The sequence below is a fragment of the Homo sapiens genome, chromosome 9 (genome assembly GCF_000001405.40).
Source record: "Homo sapiens chromosome 9, GRCh38.p14 Primary Assembly".
NCBI classification, from domain to species: Eukaryota; Metazoa; Chordata; class Mammalia; order Primates; family Hominidae; genus Homo; species Homo sapiens.
Genome location: NC_000009.12, coordinates 60,981,669 through 61,003,887, shown reverse-complemented (window position 1 = coordinate 61,003,887; position 22,219 = coordinate 60,981,669). Strand labels below are relative to the sequence as shown.

Genomic DNA, 22,219 nt, shown 5'->3' with positions numbered 1-22,219 from the left:
GAATTCATACTGGGGAAAAACCCTATGAGTGTAATGAATGTGGGAAAACGTTTGCTGATAATTCAGCCCTCAGGGCACATCACAGAATTCACACAGGGGAGAAACCCTATGAATGTAATGACTGTGGGAAGACTTTCTCCAAGACATCACATCTCAGAGCACATCTTAGAACTCGCTCAGGGGAGAAGCCCTATGAATGCAGTGAATGTGGGAAAACCTTCTCTGAGAAGTCATATGTTAGTGCACATCAGAGAGTTCATACGGGGGAGAAACCCTATGAATGTAATGTATGTGGGAAGCCATTTGCCCATAATTCAACCCTCAGAGTACATCAAAGAATTCACACAGGGGAGAAATCCTATGAATGTAATGATTGTGGGAAAACGTTCTCCCAGAAATCACACCTTAGTGCACACCAGAGAATTCACACAGGGGAGAAACCCTATGAGTGTAATGAATGCGGGAAAGCTTTTGCCCAAAATTCAACTCTCAGAGTACACCAGAGAATTCACACAGGGGAGAAACCCTATGAATGTGATGAATGTGGGAAAACTTTTGTCCGTAAGGCAGCTCTTAGGGTACATCACACCAGAATGCATACCAGAGAGAAAACCCTAGCATGTAATGGATTTGGGAAGTCCTGAGGGAATGCATACCTTACCACATAACACGTAGTGCAGAAACTCATGTGACATAGGCTGGGAACTTGTTTCCCTTATCCATTTCCTTTTTCATTAGGCTCATAGTTTGTGGAAAAATCCCAATATGCCGTTTATTCAGGTGGGGCTGACCATGGGATATGGTGCTAATGATATATATTACATTTACTCTTGGCCCTTAAAAAAAAAAAAGAAAAACCCTCACAGTCTTCCTGGTTCATAATATGGATTTGGAGGTTATTTCTGCAGCAAACTTGGGTCCTGTGTGTTCAAAACCATAAAGCACAAGGTCAAGGAAGCTAGAGTCTGAAAAACGAACAATTCACTTCCAGGTCTTCATCAGGGTTTTGTTTTTGTTGCTTTAAAGCAAGAGTTAAGTTTATAGTCTGTTAAGCTCTTACAAATTTGGCTTATTAGTTAAATGGACGTAGTTTAGCTTAAACTTTATGTTAGAGTGAGATGAAACCCTATGAATATAATCAGTTTTAGAAAAACTAATCAGTTTATTGTGCATCAGAGACGTCACATGAAGAAGAAAACTTGTTGACATCCAGGATGATCAGGAGCCTTCATTAAAACAGAAATTTTAGGGAAAACCACAAAAACCTTCGTAAAGTGAATTGCATTAAACATCAATTATAATAAAATTTCATATTTTGAATAAATGACATTTTTCCTAGGTATTTTTTTCTGAGGAAATATGTCAGTTTTAGAATTGGAGATAAAATATTCACCTAGAACTGATGTACCAAGCTTCTGTTTTGTAATATCAAAAATTTTATAGAACATATATAAGAAAATATTTACCTATAGAAAAACTCACTGTAGAATGTGAAGTTAAAAATGGAATAATTTGAATTCTGTGGAGAATATGAATAAATGTGAATAGTTTGAGCTCTGTGGAAGATCTTTTAGTCTGTATATAAACGTTGTAACTCACTGGTGAGTTCTAGTGGGTGCTAACAGCCAAACCTGCACTGGGCATGTCCACTTCCTTTTCTGAGTGACTGTGTCCTCTGTTGGCTTCCCTCAATGCTGTTAGATTTTGGCCTGCCTGCTATGTCTGGATATTAATTAGTCTTGTCCTAAAACTAGTCTTGCCTATTCTTCTAGGACCTTGGAGATAGCTGAGATTTCCCCAGTCACCTTGTGTGTTTGTGTGTTTGGAGGGGGGCGCCAGGGAGGACAGGGTGATTCTTATATACTTTTTGTTTGCCTTTATTTTAATTTTATCCCACTCCACTTACTCATTTTGCACAGGATGATTATAAAGCAACTGGTCTCCTCTCCTCCGTTGTATGCATATAGCCTCAGCATCCTGTTTGGAATATTTTCCTCCAACATCATGATGCCTCCTCACACTGCATCACAAACCAGAAATACCAGTTTGGTATTTCTACCAAACTAAGACAGCAGGTTTTGGAATTGGAATGAAAAGGACTACTTTGTCCCAGAAGTACAGTCCTGGTACGAGAAAGCAGACTCACTTTTGGTAAAACAATATAATGTGGCATAATCTTAGCCAAGAAAGCATTTAGTTAATGTGCCATTATTTTAGCCTACGGTTTGATGAGCACAGAAAAGAAAGTAGACAAAATCATTTTTAAAACCTAGACCAGTAACAATTTTCCCCAGCCCTGAGCATCTTGCTTTCTGCAAGTTTGATCTGATAGGTTAAGCATGAGGACAATAAATCAGTTGACCCAAGAAAAATGTCTCTAATTCCCATCCCTTGTTATATTGTGGGCAAGGATAGTGTGAGGGAGAATGATGGCATCTTTAGAATTAGTTAGAGGACAGGTATTTCCTTGACACTGTTGTTAACAGTTAATTGAGTAGCATCACTGCAAAGATGAGCCATGAAAGAAGAGCCCACCTTTAGACGAGGACCATATCAGCACCTCCAGGGCTGGCACATCAGACACTGAGGGGCTACTTTGGGCAGCTCATGAGGAAAAAGGAATGATGAAGGAGTTGGTGTGGGACTGGCCCTGGCGCTGCTTACCTTCCTCAGGTACTTACCGCTCCTGGCAGAAAGGTGCCATCTGTTATGGAAATATGTTTCCTTCTTTTTTATTCTCCTTAGTCTCTGATACCATGATGCTACTTGAGCTTACTGCACAGTGCCCAAGGGAATTGAGGGTCAAAAAGCATGCCTTTCTGCATGCTTAATTTTCAGAAAAGTATAGATGAAAAGGAGTACTCTTTTTTAAAAGAATTATTTGAGAATGTATTTACAGAAAAATTACAATGATAGTTTGTATATACTCCTCACCCAGTTTTCCCTATTAGCATATTACTATGGTATGTTTTTATAACTAAGAAACATTGATAACATTATTAACTAGACACTTTTTTTTTCAGATTTCACTAGTTTTTCCTTATTGTGCTTTTCTACTTCATGATCATGTTTGGGCTCAGAAAAGGATACGCTAAAGTGAAGGCCTCAGAAGCTACGTTTTCTCTGTCAGTTATGGACAGGTAACTCCCTAGGCAGTGAAGCAAGTGACACCTTGAGAAATGGCCACAAGGCCTAAAACTACAGAACTGCCACATTACAAAAAAATGTGGTACTTTAACAGTGGCAATTAAACAACAGTCAATTGCTAAGGAAGGCTCACAAGGCCCAAAATGACAGTGCTTAAATATCTACCATTTATTAAGGGAAAGGGTACAACATAGCAATACCATTAAAGTCAGTATTTACATCACAGCCAAAGGCTGCCTCACAGCAAGGGGTCTGGGTAAGGGCCATGCACAAACTCCATTTTTCCTTGTGCAAGTGTTATATGGACACAATTTCACTATCACATAAGGATTCAACATGTGCACAAAACACATCAGAAACCCCAAAATGGATTCTCTGCTGGTGTCTCTTATACTCTGCTGGACACATAGGCATATTCTTGCTAGGCAACAAGCCCCAACAGCAGAGGACTCTGAAGGTTCCAGTGAGACCAGGCATAAATCAGTCTCACTGTTAACGGTAAACACTACTGATGCACAGTTAAAACCTGCTCCCAAACATCTTGGACTCATGGATGAAAAGCAGCACTATTAATCAGTATGTTTTATTCCTTGACCAATGATCAGTGATAAGCAAACTCTGCAGTTCACACTAATTCCAGGTCTGCTGGGCTTACCTTTTACAGCATTCCACTCTACCCCATAATTTTTGGTCAGAGCCTTTTACAACAAAACAATCACTCTTAGTTTGATGGAATCATTTGGCTTTCAACAGCATATAATCAATTGGTGATCAAAACGCACATACAGGTTTGAAAGAATTGTAATCACCCCTGAGGGGTTGTGAATTTAAACCATCCTGTAATGCCAACAGGAAGTGCCACATATTTTATACATTTTTCTTCTCCCTGATCTTCAGCTATCTGTATTGTATGATATACATCAATTGAGATTTATACTTCTATTAGTATACATTTATACTAATTGAATTCTCTGTGAAACAAGAACCATATGAGACAGCCACATTAGTATTGTTTCACAGAGTCATTGCCTGAGCTCCAATCTGTTTATTGATTAGAAGGACATAGATCAATAGTGGAAGTATATTTATTAGATTGGTCATTTTACAGCTTCTTCATTTTTTTAAAGTGGAAGAAGTTTTGGCAGTCTTTTGCCCCAGAGGACATCTGAGTCAAAGCTAAGAGAGCATGTTATTCACTTGTTGTAAACCTCTCTTAGGACATCAAAATTATCTTTGATTTTTCCCTTTTGTAAGACACACTTGCTGGCTCTCTTCACTCAGCCTGATTCACTTTTCTCTCATTTATCATTAATTTTAAAACAAACCTTTCCTCCTGAAGTCAGTAACTCATTTGGCTATAGTGACAGTAGCAAGATGAGACATGCCAGGACTTCTTCATTTGTCCATTCGCACACATATGGGGATGGATTGGATAAGTGCAGAGAAATAATGGCTACTCCGCCCAATAGGCAGCACAGCATTTGCATAGGCAGTCCCAACTTGCCGAGATGCAGACAGAGTATCATCCACCCCATTAATCTCTTTGGAATTCTTGTCATTAGTCAAAGTAATAGGCATACTGTCTGGTTTTGTAATATTACCAGACACTTGGACCTTAATTTTAGCCCCATTATAGGGACTTCCAGATCCAGCATTGGAAACAACAAAATTGTTGTGAAGTAGAGAAGAGTTGTATATAAATTCCCTTTTATTTTCTACCTTCTCCAATGCCACCACAAAAACATACCCATTTATCCAACCAAGACCCATCCTTAGTCCTCTCACGGTGAGTTGAAAAACCGTACTGGAGATTCGTAGATCAGCTCTCGGCTCTCCAATCCTTTGTCAGATCTCATATTTTTAAGCAAATATTTTAATTACTCATTTCAATTGTTTATCAAACCATTACTTTGAGGTTAATATGGAATACAATATTTCTTTCCACAGCATTGCACTGCATGGGCAGTCAAGTGAGTAACTTCATCTGAAGAAATGTAACAAACAGGATAAACTGATACAGAATATTTTGTACTGGTCCTTTGATAATATTAGAAGCATTCAGTCATTGGCTACTTGAAGCTAACCCCAGAAAATGTATCAAGTTCTGTCAATATCCAATTAACTTCATTCAGAACAATCAATACTCATTTAACTATACCAAGAGTAAGCAATACTTAACAGTTAGTTACTAGAACCTCCAATGAAAATTTAGGTGTTACTCTTGCTGGAGTTGTCTTATATGCGATGAGCCGTTTTTCTCTTACTTCTTTCAAAATTTTCTCTATATAGCATTCAACATTTTTACTATGATGTGTCTTGGTGTGAAGCATTTTGTGTATATCCTACTTGGGGTTTGTTGAATTTTGTAGATGTTTAATGTTTATTCTCAAATTTGGGACGTTTTCAGATATTATATCTTTAAATACATTTTTCTGCTTTTTGCTCTCTCTTGTCCTTCTGGTAGTCTTTTCATGCATATATTGGTGTGTTTAATGGTGTCCCACCTTCTTCTGAGGTCCTCTTCATTTCTGTTTGTTGGATTGCATACTTTCTATCCACTTATCTTTTAAGTTTTCTGATTCTTTCTTCTGCCAGTTCAAATCTACTGTTGAGCCACTTAAGTGAAACTTTGATTCAGTTAATGTATATTTCAACTCAAAAATTTTTGATTCTTTTTATAATTCTCTTTATTGATATCCTCTTTTTAATAAGCCATTGTCATCGTATCTTTCTATACCTCTTCAAACCTGGTTACCTTTAGTTCTCTGAACATTTTTAAATTTTTAATTTTTGTGGGCACCTAGTAGGTGTGTATATTTATGGGGTGCATGAGATGTTTGGATACAGGCATGCAATGTGAAATAAGCACATCATGGAGAATGAGGTATCTATCCTCTCAAGCATTTATCCTTTGAGTTACAAACAATCCAGTTACACTCTTTAACCCATTTTGCATTTAGGAAAAAAGAAAGTTGCAGCTCACTGCCAGTGCAGTATTCTTGGGGCAAATGGGAAATGGGTTATTTTAAAATATGCTATTTTAAGTTATTATTGACTGTACTCACTCTGTTGTGCTACCAAATAGTAGGTCTTATTTATTCTTTCTAACTATTTTTTTTTTTTTGTACTCATTAACCATCCCAACCCTCACCCCACCCTCCCACTACACTTCCTAGTCTCTGGTAACCATTAGTTCTCTGAACAAAATTTATAACTGCTTTGAAGTCTTTGTCTGCCAAATCCCACATCTGGGCCTTCTCATAAGCAGTTTATATTACCTGCTTCTCTTTTCCTACCTATAGGTAATACTTTTCTATTTTCTTGCATGTCTTACAATTTTTTTGTTGAAAATTGGATATTTTAAATAATACATTTTAGCAACTCTGGATACTAATTCCCCTGACCACGGGGCTTGGTTGTTTTGTTGTTTGCTTGGTTATTGAGTGACTTGGATGGACTATTTTGGTGAAATCTATTCCCCAACAGTAGCAAGCCTCTAATGTCACTCCTCAGAGGGCACAGCTTTGGGCACTGGCACAGTCACCTTGGGATGACAGTAGTTTTAGCAGAACTCATGTAGGATGTCTCTTTTCCTGTTCTCTCTGTTAAGCTGTCTGACTCTGTTGGTCATACCCAGCTGTTAATGTTCACTAATTTCCAGCTGATTTCTTTCTTGTGCATGACAGTATCCTGGGCCAAAAGTTCCCCATGTTTAATCCAATTAAATTTGGGTTCCTTTTCAGGGGTAGATTTTGAAGTTTGTTCTGACCCCAGGAGGGGTCTTTGTGACTGGCTCTTTACCTGGTCTTCCTAACTAGCTGGCCTATAGTTTGGCTTATTATCATGGAGCTGCAAGCCTCCTCTTAATTTCTTACCAACAAAATCTCCATTGTTTTCAAGAGTTCCCTTAGAGTGGAACTCCTCCAACTCTGTTTTAAATAAAGTCAGAACCTTTGGGAAGAGCATCAGAGCTCTCTGTTTTTATAACCTCTCCCCCAGGAAAAAAATCTCTTTGCCACTTCTCTAGAGCTGGGACTGGAGACAGTGGCCCATTTTTCTCAAAGTGACACTGCTGTTTTTGTGGGTGGAAGGTGCTGGTGAGGGCAGTAGTCTCTGAACTTCTCAGCTTACCTCTCTGGTCTGGAATCTTTCCCTCTGAGCAAGCTGGGGTGAAGGTATCAAGGTCTCATCATTCTCACCCTGCCATGCATGAAATGGAGCCTTTGAGTGGGGGACAGAGGAGCCTCTGAGTGGGGGATAGAAGGAAGCTTCTGACCGCTTGGCTACACTCACCTGGAATTGAGCCTCTGTGCTAAGGAGTTGGGAGAATGAGCTATGCTGGTGGCCTTATCCTCCAAAGGAGCCATCATAGCTCTTGACTGAAAGCAGAGTATAGAGAGAACTCCATCTTTGTGGCCATACCTATCCAGAGTAGAGACTGTGTTACACTGAGCAGTGGAGAGGGAGTAGAGAGAGGGAATAGGTCAGGGCCCAAGTCTCCAATTCTCACTATTCTTACTGAGAATTTTATGAAGACATTTTTCACTTTCTGTATCCTCTTAAGTTGATTTTCAGAGATTTTTAAAGATTGTTATTTTTAAGATAATTTAAACCAGTTATAGTTGTTTCACTGGAGAATATTTAAATAAAAATATTCAGATACCAAAATTCAAAATGTGTAATATCTAGTGAAAAATTACCAAGAATTCAAGGGAGAAAAATGTGATCCATAATAAGGATAAAATCAATCATGACAGAAGACTCATAATTAACACAGATGATAGAATTAGTAGACAAGAACACTTAGAATGCTACTGTCGAACTTCTTGCTTGAGCAGCAATGTGTAAATAGATTGCAAGTTGTCACTTCAGTTCTTACAACAAGTAGAGCCAGAAGAAACAAAAAAGCTTTTCTTTAAAGCCATCACAGAACTGAGGTCACAGGGCAAACTGTTACCCAAAAATCTAGAGAGATAAGCACTTCTAGAGATATATAGCTGAGACCTGCTTACCTAGAGCACAGGCCACAAAAACCATAAGCTGGTAGAAACTCTTCGGTGGTAATTTTGATGCATTATTGGAGGCTTAGTGTGAATATGATAGGGACAGGAGGCAGAGGAATTCTGGGCTGGAGAGGGTGAGTCCTTGGCAAAAACCCCACCCTGAAGCCAAAAAGCCTAATACCATGGTCCAAAGTGAGAACTTACATCCCTGTTTTCCCACTCGAATGTTGCCTTTTCCAAAACCACCCATGGCCTGCCTCACCACCCCATTCTGTGCCCATAAAAACCCCAGGCTCAGATAGGCATGGTGGCTCATGCTTGTAATCCCAGCACTTTCGGAGGCCGAGGCAGTGGATCATGAGGTCAGGAGATTGAGACCATCCTGGCTAACACAGTAAATACCTGTCTCTACTAAAAATACAAAAAATTAGCCAGGCATGGTGGCACACACCGTCTGTAGTCCCAGCTACTTGTGAGGCTGAGGCAGGAGAATCACTTGAACCCAGCAGGCAGAGGTTGCAGTGAGCCAAGATCGTGCCACTGCACTCCAGCTTGGGTGACAAAAGTGAGACCCCATCTCAATTAAAAAAAAAGAAAAACCCAGGCTCAGCCAGCAGAGAGAGGAGAAGAGAAGAAGCAGCTGGACTTTAGAAGCTATTGTTTGATGTTGAAAAGAAGCAGTTTGACTTCAGAGGGACAGCTTGACAGCATAGGCCAGAAGGAGGAGTCTGGCCTGGGATGGCTGGACTTCAGTGGAGGAATACCTTCCCACTCTGTCCCCTTTCCAGCTCCCCTTCCTGCTCAGAGCCACTTTCATCGGCAATAAAATCCCCCACATTTACCGTCCTTAATTCATTTGTGCAGCTCCATTCCTCCTGGATGCCAGACAAGAACTCAGGGGCCACAAGTGCAGGTATAAAGGCTGTCTCACTGAGCCTCCACTGAGCTGTTAACACTTAAGTCATCCATTGATGGCAAAGCTAAAAGGGCACTGTAACACTCCTTCTGGGGCATCAGGGGTTGCAGGCACCCTCCTGTAGATGCTGTCATGGGGCTCGTATGGAGTTCACGCTTGCCGATGTCCAATAGCGCTAGCTCCAGCTCTGGCACCCAGTCTCCTGCATGCTCCCCCTCCCATGAGGGGTGGAGCATGGCGGGCCAAGTAAGTGGAGTTTGCCCCTGCCAGTGCCTCTGTGCACTCCATTTCCTGCCTGTGAAGGGGGCCTGCTTCAATTACTTTGAGTAGGAGAAACTTCTTAGTTCTAAGGGCCCCAGTTTTAGGGTGGCTCTAACACTTTAATAGGTTTTACCTTTAGGAACTCCAACAGGGCTCAGGGTGGAGATTTAAGAAAGATCCCTCATGGTTATAGTTGGAAAGGGGAAGAGGAATCACTATAAAATACACTTAGAAACTTCTCCAAAAAAAGCACACTCACCAGGAGAAAATATTTTGTAAGAGCCTTATCCTGGTTGGTGGAATGAAATTCTTCCCACTCCAGCCAATTTCAGCCTTCTTGTATCACTAAGGAGGAAAAACAGAATTCAGAGCTTCAAAAAAAATAGATTGAAGATTCTGTAACCTGGGAAAGGATTGAGGGCTGGGGATAAGAAAAGCTATACACCATTGGAGAAGAGTCAGAAATACTTGTAAAGTTCACAGTCCTGGACATAGCCACATAAAAAGCTGAGATTTAAATGGAAGATTACAGAGCACTCTCTCTCCCCTAGACCACACCTCTATCCCAACAGAATCCCACAGCATTACATAGTGAATTATAGCCAAAAGAGTTCCAAGAAACAGACTCTCTCTGGAGAGCAGTAACTTGGGAAGCCCAAAGTCAAGAGGAGACAAAAAGGTGGGCAGCAGAGAAATTTGCAGCATTTTAGATGTATAGGTAGAGAAAATACTAAACATAGCTTAATTCCTAGCTATAAATCCCCACGTTGCAGGTCTATTTACCTCAGTCCATATTACCCAATACAGACAAGAAAAAAATTACAAGGCATGACAAATGACAAGAAAAAAGTCACAACAAAACACTATCAGAAGCAGACTGAAGTATGATACAACTATTGGAATTTTCCAGACAGAAAATGTAAACTAATTGTGATTAATATATTAAGGACTCTAATGGAAAAAGTAGACCACATGCAAGAACAGATAGGTGATATAAAAAAAGAGATGGAAACTCTAAGAAAGGAAAAATAAAAGAAATACTAAAATTGGGTTAGGATTAATATCAGAATATATAAAAAACTCATACAACTCAACAGCAAGAAAAAACTCTTAAATATCCAACTTAAAAGTGAGCAAAGGACTTGAATAGACATTTCTCCAAAGAAGATATGCAAATGACCTGTAAGAACATAAAAGGATCATTAAGAAAATGCAAATCAAAGCCACAATGAAAACCACATCATACCCACTAGGATGGCCAATATACATGTGCACATGCACACACACAATCATACATGTTGGCAAGGATATGAAAAAATTGATGGCACATTTTTTATGAGAATGGAAAAATGGATAGTGCAGCTGCCACAAAAGACAGTATGGTGGTTCCTCAAAAATTAAACATAGAATATCATATGATTCACCAATTCTACCTCCAGATATATATCCAAAGGAATTGAAAGCAGAGACTCAACAGATGTGTGTACACCAATATTTGTAATAGCATTATTCACAATAGCCAAAAGATGAAAACCATGCAAATGACCATCAATGAATAAATGGATAAACATTCAATAGAATATCATTCAGCCTTAAAAAGAATTATCTTGATATGGCTGCCATCACAAAGTACCACAGATTGTGAAGCTTAAACAACTGAAATTTATTTTACCACAGTCTGGAGCTGCAAATCCAAAATCATGTGTGTCAACAAGGTTGTTTCTTCTGAGGCCTCTCTCCAAGGTTTTTTCTGATTGTTTGTTTTGTTTTCGTTTTGTTTTTCTGAGACGGGGTCTCGCTCTGTCACCCAAGCACGATCTCAGCTCACTGCAAGCTCTGCCTCCCAGGTTCACACCATTTTCCTGCCTCAGTCTCCCGAGTACTGGGACTGCAGGTGCCCACCACCACGCCCAGGCTAATTTTTTTGTATTTTTTTAGTAGAGACGGGGTTTCACCGTGTTAGCCAGGATGGTCTCCATCTCCTGACCTCATGATCCACCTGCCTCGGCCTCTCAAAGTGCTAGAATTACAGACCGTGCCTGGACTCTCCAAGGTTTATTGGTATTTGTCTTTTCCCTCTGTCTTCACATGGTCTTTCCTTTGTGTGTGTCTGTGTCCTAATCTCTTCAATATGACACCACTCATATTAGCTTCATATCCATCTCTATGACCTCATTTTACCTTGATTACTTCTTTAAACGTTCTTTCTTCAAATATCACATTATGAGGTACTGGGGGTCAGGACTTCAACCTGTGAATTTTAGAGATACACAATTCGGCCCACAACATAAATGAACCTTGAAAACATTATGCTAAGTGAAATAAATGAGACATAAAAGGAGAGATATTGTATGATTACACTTACATGAGATACAAGAATAGTCAAATTCAGAGACAAAAAGTAGAAGAGTGGTTACCAAGTCCTGGGGAAAGGGTTGGAGGAATGCGGAGTTATTGTTTAATGCGCAGTTTTGGGATGACACGGAAGTTCTGAAGGTGGATAGTTATGATAAATGCACAATAATGTGTATATACTTAATGCCACTGAATTGAATATTTAAAAATCGTCAAAAAGATAAATTTTATGTTATGCATATTTTACCACAATAAGAAAGAAAACTCTAGAAATAAAAATATAGTAACAGAAATGAAGAATGCCTAGCAATGCATTGGAGGGGGAATAAATGGTATTAAAATTAAATCTTTTATTTTTCTTATCTTAATCTATGTAAAGTGTAACATTTAAAAATAATAGTATTACAATGTATTGCATGATTATCAAATATGAATAAGTGCAATTAATGATAGCAGTATTACAAGGGACATGAGAGAGAAGTTGAGAGTATTCTGTATGAGGTACCTATACTGTACACAAAGTAATATAATGACATCTGAAAGTGGACTGAGAGTACAGAATCGTATATTGTAAACTGTAGAGCAACCATTAAAAACCTTTTTAAGAGAAGTATAATTACTATTCTAAGAAAGGAAATAAAATGGAATCATATAAAATGATCAATTAAAAAGAAGACAGAAAAAGAGTAGGAAATAACAAACAGCAAATTCAATGAGCAGAAAACAATGACAAACATAGTAGATATCACTCCACCTATATGAATAATCACTTCAATTATGAATGGTTTAAAAATACCATTGTAACTGTACTCCATTTGCTTAAGAAGGTAGATGAAAAGCTATATACATTAAGGAGAGACATGGAAGATACAAACACTAAAATAAAACTTCTAAAGGTAAAAATACAATATCTGATATAAAAATTCATTGGATTAGATTAACAGCAGATTAAACATTGCAAAGGAAAAGATTCATGAATAAAAATCATAGCAACTGAAACTATACAACATGTCACACACAGATTTAAAAGACCGAAAATGATGAAGAGGGAATCTGTAAGCTAGATAAACTGCAAGCAGCTTAATAATATATGTAAGATTGGAGTTCCCAAAAAGTAGTAAAGAGGAGAATAATAAAAATGAGGGCCAGGTGCAGTGGCTCACACCTGTAATCCCAGCACTTTGGGAGGCTGAGGTGGGCGGATCATTTGAGGTCAGGAGTTCAAGACCAGCCTGGCCAACATGGTGAAACCCTGTCTCTAATAAAAATACAAAAATTAGCTGGGCGTAGTAGTGGGTGCCTGTAATACCAGCTACTTGGGAGGCTGAGGCATAAGAATTGCTTGAACCTGTGAGGTGGAGATTGCAGTGAGCCGAGATTGTGCTAATTCAACTCCAGCCTGGGCAATACAGCGAGACTCAGTCTCAAAAAACAAACAAACAAAAACAACAACAACGAATATTTGAGTACACAATGACTGAATATTTACAAATTTCATGGTAACTACAAATTCACAATTCCAAAAATCTCAATAAACTCAAACATGAAAAAATTACCAGGCACATTACAGTCAGATTGTTTAAGACTACTGATGGACAGCGTTAAATGCATCCAGATGTGGAGCACATGAGATACAAACTAACAAAGAATGAGATAAGAATGAAAGCATATTCCTCATTGAAAGAAATGCAATCAAGAAAACAAGTATAGCTTTTCTATAATACGGAAAGAAAATAAAAGTACTGAAATAGTTCTATAGTATTTGTACTCAGGGAAATCAGATTTTCACAAATGAAGGCAAAATAAAGAGCTTTTCAGACATGCAAAAGCTAAAAGAAATCAGTAGCAGAACCATATCACAAAGAAATGTTAATGGAAATTCTTCAGGCAGAAGGAAATGATACCCAGTGAAATCTACCTCTATTCAAAGGAATGAAAAGCATCAGAAATTATAGCTACATGAGTAAATATTTGTTTCTTATTATGTAAATTTCTTTTTTATTATTACTATTATTTTTAAATTATAGTTTCAGTTCTGGGGTACACGTGCACAACATGCAGGTTTCTTCACATATGTATACATGTGCCATGTTGGTGTGCTGCACCCATTAACTTGTCATTTACATTAGGTATATCTCCTAATGCTATCCCTCCCCTCTCCCCCCACCCCACAACAGGCCCCAGTGTGTGATGGGGGCCTGTGTCCAAGTGTTCTCATTGTTCAACTCCCACCTATGAGTGAGAACATGCGGTGTTTGGTTTTCTTTCCTTGCGATAGTTTGCTCAGAATGATGGTTTCCAGCTGCATCCATGTCCCTACAAAGGACATGAACTGATCCTTTTTTATGGCTGCATAGTATTCCATGGTGTGTATGTGCCACATTTTCTTAATCCAGTCTATCATTTTTGGACATTTGGGTTGGTTCCAAGTCTTTGCTATTGTGAATAGTGCCACAATAAACATACGTGTGCATGTGTCTTCATAGCAGCATGATTTATAATCCTTTGGGTATATACCGAGTAATGGGATGGCTGGGTCAAATGGTATTTCTAGTTCTAGATCCTTGAGGAATCGCCACACTGTCTTCCACAATGGTTGAACTAGTTTACAGTCCCACCCACAGTGTAAAAGTGTTCCTATTTCTCCACATCCTTTCCAGCACCTGTTGTGTCCTGACTTTTTAATGATTGCCATTCTAACTGGTGTGAGATGGTGTCTCATTGTGGTTTTGATTTGCATTTCTCTGATGGCCAGTGATGATGAGCATTTTTTCATGTGTCTGTTGGCTGCATAAAAGTCTTATTTGAGAAGTGTCTGTTCATATCCTTTGCCCACTTTTTGATGAGGTTGTTTGATTCTTTCTTGTAAATTTGTTTAAGTTCTTTGTAGATTCTGGATGTTAGCCCTTTGTCAGATGAGTAGATTGTAAAAATTTTCTCCCATTCTGTAGGTTGCCTGTTCATTCTGATGGTAGTTTCTTTTGCTGTGCAGAAGCTCTGTAGTTTAATTAGATCCCATTTGTCAATTTTGGCTTTTGTTGCCATTGCTTTTGGTATTTTAGTCATGAAGTCCTTGCCCATGTCTATGGCCTGAATGGTATTGCCTAGGTTTTCCTCTAGGGTTTTTATGGTTTTAGGTCTAACATTTAAGTCTTTAATCCATCTTGAATTAATTTTTGTATAAGGTGTAAGAAAGGGATCTAGTTTCAGCTTTCTACATATGGCTAGCCAGTTTTCCCAGTACCATTTATTAAATAGGGAATCCTTTCCCCATTTCTTGTTTTTGTCAGATTTGTCAAAGATCAGATTGTTGTAGATGTGTGGTATTATTTCTGAGGGCTCTGCTCTGTTCCATTGGTCTCTATCTCTGTTTTGGTACCAGTACCATGCTGTTTTGGTTACCGTTGCCTTGTAGTATAGTTTGAAGTCAGGTGGTGTGATGCCTCCAGCTTTGTTCTTTTGGCTTAGGATTGTCTTGGCAATGCAGGCTCTTTTTTGGTTCCATATGAACTTTAAAGTAGTTTTTTCCAATTCTGTGAAGAAAGTCATTGGTAGCTTGATGGGGAAGGCATTGAATCTATAAATTACCTTGGGCACTATGGCCATTTTCACGATATTGATTATTCCTACCCATGAGCATGGAATGTTCTTCCATTTGTTTGTGTCCTCTTTTATTTTGTTGAACAGTGGTTTGTAGTTCTCCTTGAAGAGGTCCTTCACATCTCTTGTAAGTTGGATTCCTAGGTATTCTATTCTCTTTGAAGCAATTGTGAATGGGAGTTCACTCATGATTTGGTTCTCTGTTTGTCTGTTATTGGTGTATAGGAATGCTTGTGATTTTTGGACATTGATTTTGTATCCTGAGACTTTGCTGAAGTTGCTTATCAGCTTAAGGAGATTTTGGGCTGAGACCATGGGGTATTCTAAATATACAATCATGTCATCTGCAAACAGAGAAAACTGGACTTCCTCTTTTCCTAATTGAATACCATTTATTTCTTTCTCCTGCCTGATTGCCCTGGCCAGAACTTCCAACACTATGTTGAATAGGAATGGTGAGAGAGGGCATCCCTGTCTTGTGCCAGTTTTTGCCCATTCAGTATGATATTGGCTGTGTGTTTGTCATAAATGGCTCTTATTATTTTGAGATACATCCCATCAATCCTAGTTTACTGAGAGTTTTTAGCATGAAGGGCTGTTGAATTTTGTCGAAGGCCTTTTCTGCATCTATTGAGATAATCATGTGGTTTTTGTCTTTGGTTCTGTTTATATGATGAATTAAATTTATTGATTTGTATATGTTGAACCAGCCTTGCATCCCAGGGTTGAAGCCCACTTAATCATGGTGGATAAGCTTTTTGATGTGCTGCTGGATTTGGTTTGCCAGTATTTTATTGAGGATTTTTGCATCGATGTTCATCAGGGATATTGGTCTAAAATTCTCTTTTTTTGTTACGTCTCTGCGAGGCTTTGGTGTCAGGATGATGCTGGCCTCATAAAATGAGTTAGAGAGGATTCCCTCTTTTTCTATTGATTAGAATAGTTTCTGAAGGAATGGTACCAGCTCCTCTTTGTACCTCTGGTAGAATTTGGCTGTGAATCCATCTGGTCCTGGACTTTTTTTGGTTGGTAGGCTATTAATTATTGCCTCAATTTCAGAGCCTGTTATTGGTCTATTCAGGGATCCAACTTCTTCCTGGTTTAGTCTTGGGAGGGTGTATGTGTCCAGGAATTTATCCATTTCTTCTAGATTTTCTAATTTATTTGCATAGAGGTGTTTATAGTATTCTCTGATGGTAGTTTGTATTTCTGTGGGATCAGTGGTGATATCCCCTTTATCATTTTTTATTGCATCTATTGGATTCTTCTCTCTTTTCTTCCTTATTAGTCTTGCTAGCGGTCTATTTTGTTAATCTTTTCAAAAAACCAGCTCTTGGATTCATTGATTTTTTGAAGGGTTTTTTGTGTCTCTATTTCCTTCAGTTCTGCTCTGATCTTAGTTATTTCTTGCCTTCTGCTAGCTTTTGAATGTGTTTGTTGTTGCTTCTCTAGTTTTTTTAATTGTGGTGTTAGGGTATCAATTTTAGATCTTTACTGCTTTCTCTTGTGGGCACTTAGTGCTATAAATTTCCCTCTACACACTGCTTTAAATGTGTCCCAGAGATTCTGGTATGTTGTATCTTTGTTCTCACTGGTTTCAAAGAACATCTTTATTTCTGCCTTCATTTTGTTATGTACCCAGTAGTCATTCAGGAGCAGGTTGTTCAGTTTCCATGTAGTTGAGCAGTTTTGACTGAGTTTCTTAATCCTGAGTTCTAGTTTGATTGCACTATGGTCTGAGAGACAGTTTGTTATAACTTCTGTTCTTTTACATTTGCTGAGGAGTGCTTCACTTCCAAGTATGTGGTCAATTTTGTAATAAGTGTGATGTGGTGCTGAGAAGAATGTATATTCTATTGATTTGGGGTGGAGAGTTCTGTAGATGTCTATTATGTCTGCTTGGTGCAGAGCTGAGTTCAATTCCTGGATATCCTTATTAACTTTCTGTCTCGTTGACAGAAAGTTTCTGTCAATTCCTGGATATCCTTGTTAACTTTCTGTCTTGTTGACAGTGGGGTGTTAAAGTGTCCCATTATTATTGTGTGGGAGTCTAAGTCTCTTTGTAGGTCTCTAAGGACTTGCTTTATGAATCTGGGTGCTCCTGTATTGGGTGCATATATATTTGGGTTAATTAGTTCTTCTTGTTGAATTGATCCCATTACATTATGTAATGGCCTTCTCTGTCTCTTTTGATCTTTGTTGATTTAAAATCTGTTTTATCAGCGACTAGGATTGCAACCCCTGCTTTTTTTTGTTTTCCATTTGCTTGGTAGATCTTCCTCCATCCTTTTATTTTGAGCCTATGTGTGTCTCTGCACGTGAGATGGGTCTCCTGAATACAGCACACTGATGGGTCTTGACTCTTTATCCAATTTGCCACTCTGTGTCTTTTAATTGGAGCATTTAGCCCATTTACATTTAAGGTTAATATTGTTATGTGTGAATTTGATCATGTCATTATGATGTTAGCTGGTTATTTTGCTCATTAGTTGATGCAGTTTCTTCCTAGCCTCGATGGTCTTTACAATTTGGCATGTTTTTGCAGTGGCTGATACCGGTTGTTCCTTTCCATGTTTAGTGCTTCTTTCAGGAGCTCTTGTAAGGCATACCTGGTGGTGTCAAAATCTCTCAGCATTTGTCTGTCTGTAAAGGATTTTATTTCTCCTTCAGTTATGAAGCTTAGTTTGGCTGGACATGAAATTCTGGGTTGAAAATTCTTTTCTTTAAGAATGTTGAATATTGGCCCCCATTCTCTTCTGCCTTGTAGAGTTTCTGCTGAGAGATCCGCTGTTAGTCTGATGGGCTTCCCTTTTTGCATAACCCGACCTTTCTCTCTGGTTGCCCTTCACATTTTTTCCTTCATTTCAACTTTGGTGAATCTGACAATTATGTGTCTTGGAGTTGCTCTTCTCGAGGACTATCTTTGTGGCATTCTCTGTATTTCCTGAATTTGCATATTGGCCTGCCTTGCTAGGTTGGGGAAGTTCTCCTGGATAATATCCTGCAGAGTGTTTTCCAACTTGGTTCCATTCTCCCCGTCACTTTCAGGTACACCAATCAGATGTAGATTTGGTCTTTTCACATAGTCCCATATTATTTGGAGGCTTTGTTCATTTCTTTTTACTCTTTTTTCTCTAAACTTCTCTTCTCACTTCATTTCATTCATTTGATCTTCAATCACTGATACCCTTTCTTTCACTTGATTGAGTCAGCTACTGAAGCTTGTGCATGCATCACATAGTTCTCATGTCATGGTTTTCAGCTCCATCTGGTCATTGAAGGTCTTCTCTATGCTGTTTATTCTAGTTAGCCATTCATCTCATCTTTTTTCAAGGTTTTTAGCTTCTTTCAGATGGGTTTGAATATCCTCCTTTAGCTCGGAGAAGTTTGTTATTGCTAATCGATTGCAGAATGGCAAATGTTGCTGCCTGATCCTTCCTCTGGAAGCTTCGTCTCAGAGGGGTACTAGGCTGTATGAGGTGTCAGTCGGCCCCTACTGGGAGGTGTCTCCCAGTTAGGCTACTCGTGGGTCAGGGACCCACTTGAGGAGGCAGTCTGTCCATTCTCAGATCTCCAGCTTCATACTGGGAGAACCACTACTCTCTTCAAAGCTGTCGGACAGGGACATTTAAGTCTGCAGAAGTTTCTGCTGCCTTTTGTTCAGCTATGCTCTGCCCCTAGAGGTGCAGTCTACAGAGGCAGGCAGGCCTCCTTGATCTGTGGTGGGCTCCACCCAGTTCGAGCTTCCTGGCCACTTTGTTTATGTACTCAAGCCTCAGCAATGGCAGACACCCCTCCCCCAGCCTTGCTGCCACCTTGCAGTTTGATCTCACACTGCTGTGCTAGCAGCGAGCAAGGCTCCGTGGGCATGGGACCCTCCAAGCCAGGCACAGGATATAATCTCCTGCTGTGCCATTTGCTAAGGCCATTGGAAAAGCACAGTATTAGGGTTGGAGTGTCCTGATTTTCCAGGTACTGTCTGTCAGGGCTACCCTTGGCTAGGAAAGGGAATTCCCCGGCCCCTTCTGCTTCCCGGATGAGGCAATGACCCGCCCTGCTTTGGCTCATGCTCCATGGGCTGCACCCACTGCCAACAAGCCCCAGTGAGATGAACCTGGTACCTCAGATGGAAATGCAGAAATCACTCATCTTCTGCGTCACTCACGCTGGGAGCTGTAGACTGGAGCTCTTCCTATTTGGCCATCTTGGAACCTCCCCTCATGTAAATTTCTTTTAAAGATAATTGGTTAAACTGAATGATAACAATGTGTTGTTATTGCAACATATGTATATACAAATAAAGTATATGACAAAAAAGCATAAAGACTGAGAGGGGAGAAATGCAAGTATACTATTGTAAGGTTTGAATAGTATATGTGAAATGGTATAATTCACTTGAAGCTAGATTGTGATAAGTTTAAGACATATACTATTACCCCACAGCAAACACAAAATTAGCAAAATAAAGAATTATAATTTTAAGCCAAAAAATACCAGAGACAAGTCTCAATCAATTCAGAAGTTTATTTAGCCAAGGTTAAGGACATACCCATGACATAGCCTTAGGAGGTCCTGAGAACATTTGCCCAAGGTGGTCTGGCTACAGCTTGAATTTCCATGTTTTATGGAGGTATAAGACATGAATCAGTACATGTAAGACATACACTGGTTAGGTCTGGAAAGGTGGGGTGTATTAGGGTTCTCTAGTGGGACAGGACTAATAGGATAAATTTATATGTGAAAGGGAGTTTATTAAGGAGTATATACTGTCACAAGGTGAAGTCCCAAAATAGGCCATCTGCAAGCTGAGGAGCAAGGAAGCCAGTCTGAGTTCCCAAATCTCAAAAATAGGGAAGCCGACAGTGCAGCCTTCAGTCTGTGGCTGAAGGCCCAAGAGCCCCTGGCAAACCACTGGTGTAAGTCCAAAAGTCCAAAAGCCGAAGAACTTGGAGTCCAGTGTTCAAAGCCAGGAAGCATACAGCATGGGAGAAAGATGAAGGCCAGAACACTCAGCCAGTCTAGTCCTTCCACATTCTCCTGCCTGCTTTATTTTAGCTGTGCTGGCAGCTGATTAGATGGTGCCCACCCAGATTGAGGGTGGGTCTGCCTCTTCTAGTCCACTGATTCAAATGTCAGTCTTCTTTGGCAACATCCTCACAGATACATCCAGGAACAACACTTCGCACCCTTCATTCCAATCAAGTTGACACTCAATATTAACCATCACATGGAGCAATGTGAAGGGGGAGGAAGGGGCAGTGGGGGGGTTGTGGCCTGCAAGTCATAAGTGGATTAAAAGATTTCCTGATTGGCAATTGGTTGAAAGCTTTTATCTAAAGCCCTGGAATTAATAGAAGGGTTAAAATAAGGGGTTGTGGAGACCAAGGTTTTTATTATGCAGATAAAGCCTCCAGGTAGCAGGCTTCAGAAAGAACAGATTGTAAATGTTTTTTATCAGACTTAAAAAGGTACCAAACTCAGTTAATTCTCTCCCGGATCAGGAAGAAGACCTGGAAATAAAAGGAGATTTTCTATAGAAGGTAGATTTTCCCACAAGAGACAGCTTTGCAGGGCCATTTCAAAATATGTTTAAGAAATATAGCCAGGCACGTTAGCTCATGCCTATAATCCTAGCACTTTGGGAGGCTGAAGCAGGTAGATCACTTGAGGTCAGGAGTTTGAGACCAACCTGGCCAACATGGCAAAACCACGTCTCTACAAAAAATACAAAAAAATAAGCCAGGAATGGTGGTGGGCACCTGTAATCCCAGCTATTCAAGAGGCTAAGGCAGGAGAATTGCTTGAACCTGGGAGACGGAGGTTGTGGTGACTGAGCCAAGATCATGCCACTGCACTCCAGCCTGGGCAACAGAGGGAGACTCCATCTCAAAGAAAAAGAAGAAGAAGGAGAGAAAAGAAATATCTTTTGAGGTAAAATATTTTTATTTCTTTTAGGGCTTGCTGTCTGTCATGTTGGTATCTTAATGGCTACCAAGAGTCTGTTTCATCAGTCGTAAGGTCTCTGTTTTAATGTTAAATGCTGGTCAGCTGTGCCTGAATTCCAAAGGAACGTGAGTATAGTGTGGCATGTCTGACCTCTACTACCCATCATGGCCTGAACTGATTTTCCAGGTTAACTTAGGAATGCCCTTGTTTGAGAAGAGGGGTCCATTCAATTGGTTGATGGGCTTAGAATTTTACTTTTGATTTACATAGTTAATGAACCAGAAAGGAAGATGAAATGTAATAAAAATGTTTGATCCAAATGGAAGAAAAGAAGAAAAAAGAACAAAAATCAAAATTATCGACTCAAACCTAACTATATAAATAATCATATTAAATGTAAATGGTTTAAACACCTCAATTAAAAGTCAGGAATTGTCATATAAATTTTTTAGGAAGACCCGATTCTATGCTGCTTACAAGAAATACACTTTATATATAAAAAAACAAATAGGTTAAAAAATACATACCATGTTAACAGAAATCAACAGAAAGCTGATAAATCTAGCCAGATTAATCAGGCATTAGAAGAAAAAAATGCCAGTAGCAGGAAAGAGAAAGGTGACATGATTTTAGGTTTTAGATGTTAAAAGAATCATAACAAAATATTATATATAACTTCATGTCAATGATTTCCACAATTGTCATAAAATAGATGAACTCCTTGAAATACACAAACTACCATATCTCACTCAAGAAGAAATACATAATCTGAATAGCCCTACATCTGTTAGAGAAATACAATTTGTAGTTACAAAACCTTCACATAAAGAAAATGCCAGGCCCAGGTGGCTTCACTAGTGAATTATATCAAATATTTAAGAAGTAATACTAATTTTACATGAACTCTTCATAGAAAATTTTTGAGAAGGTAATTATTTCCTACCTCATTCTATGAAATTAGCATTACCCTGATATAAATGTCAAAGACATT

The 22,219-nt window shown here is 39.2% G+C and overlaps 1 protein-coding gene across 1 annotated transcript; it reads left to right on the top strand.

Annotated features, from left to right (window-relative positions):
* Positions 1-2: 2 nt before the first annotated feature.
* LOC107984126 (zinc finger protein 658B-like) lies at positions 3-1,553 on the top strand (the record flags this gene model as incomplete). The annotated part of the gene is made up of 1 exon (XM_017015387.1): positions 3-1,553. A coding segment is annotated over one exon (642 nt), but the record flags the coding sequence as incomplete, so codon positions are not given.
* Positions 1,554-22,219: the final 20,666 nt, after the last annotated feature.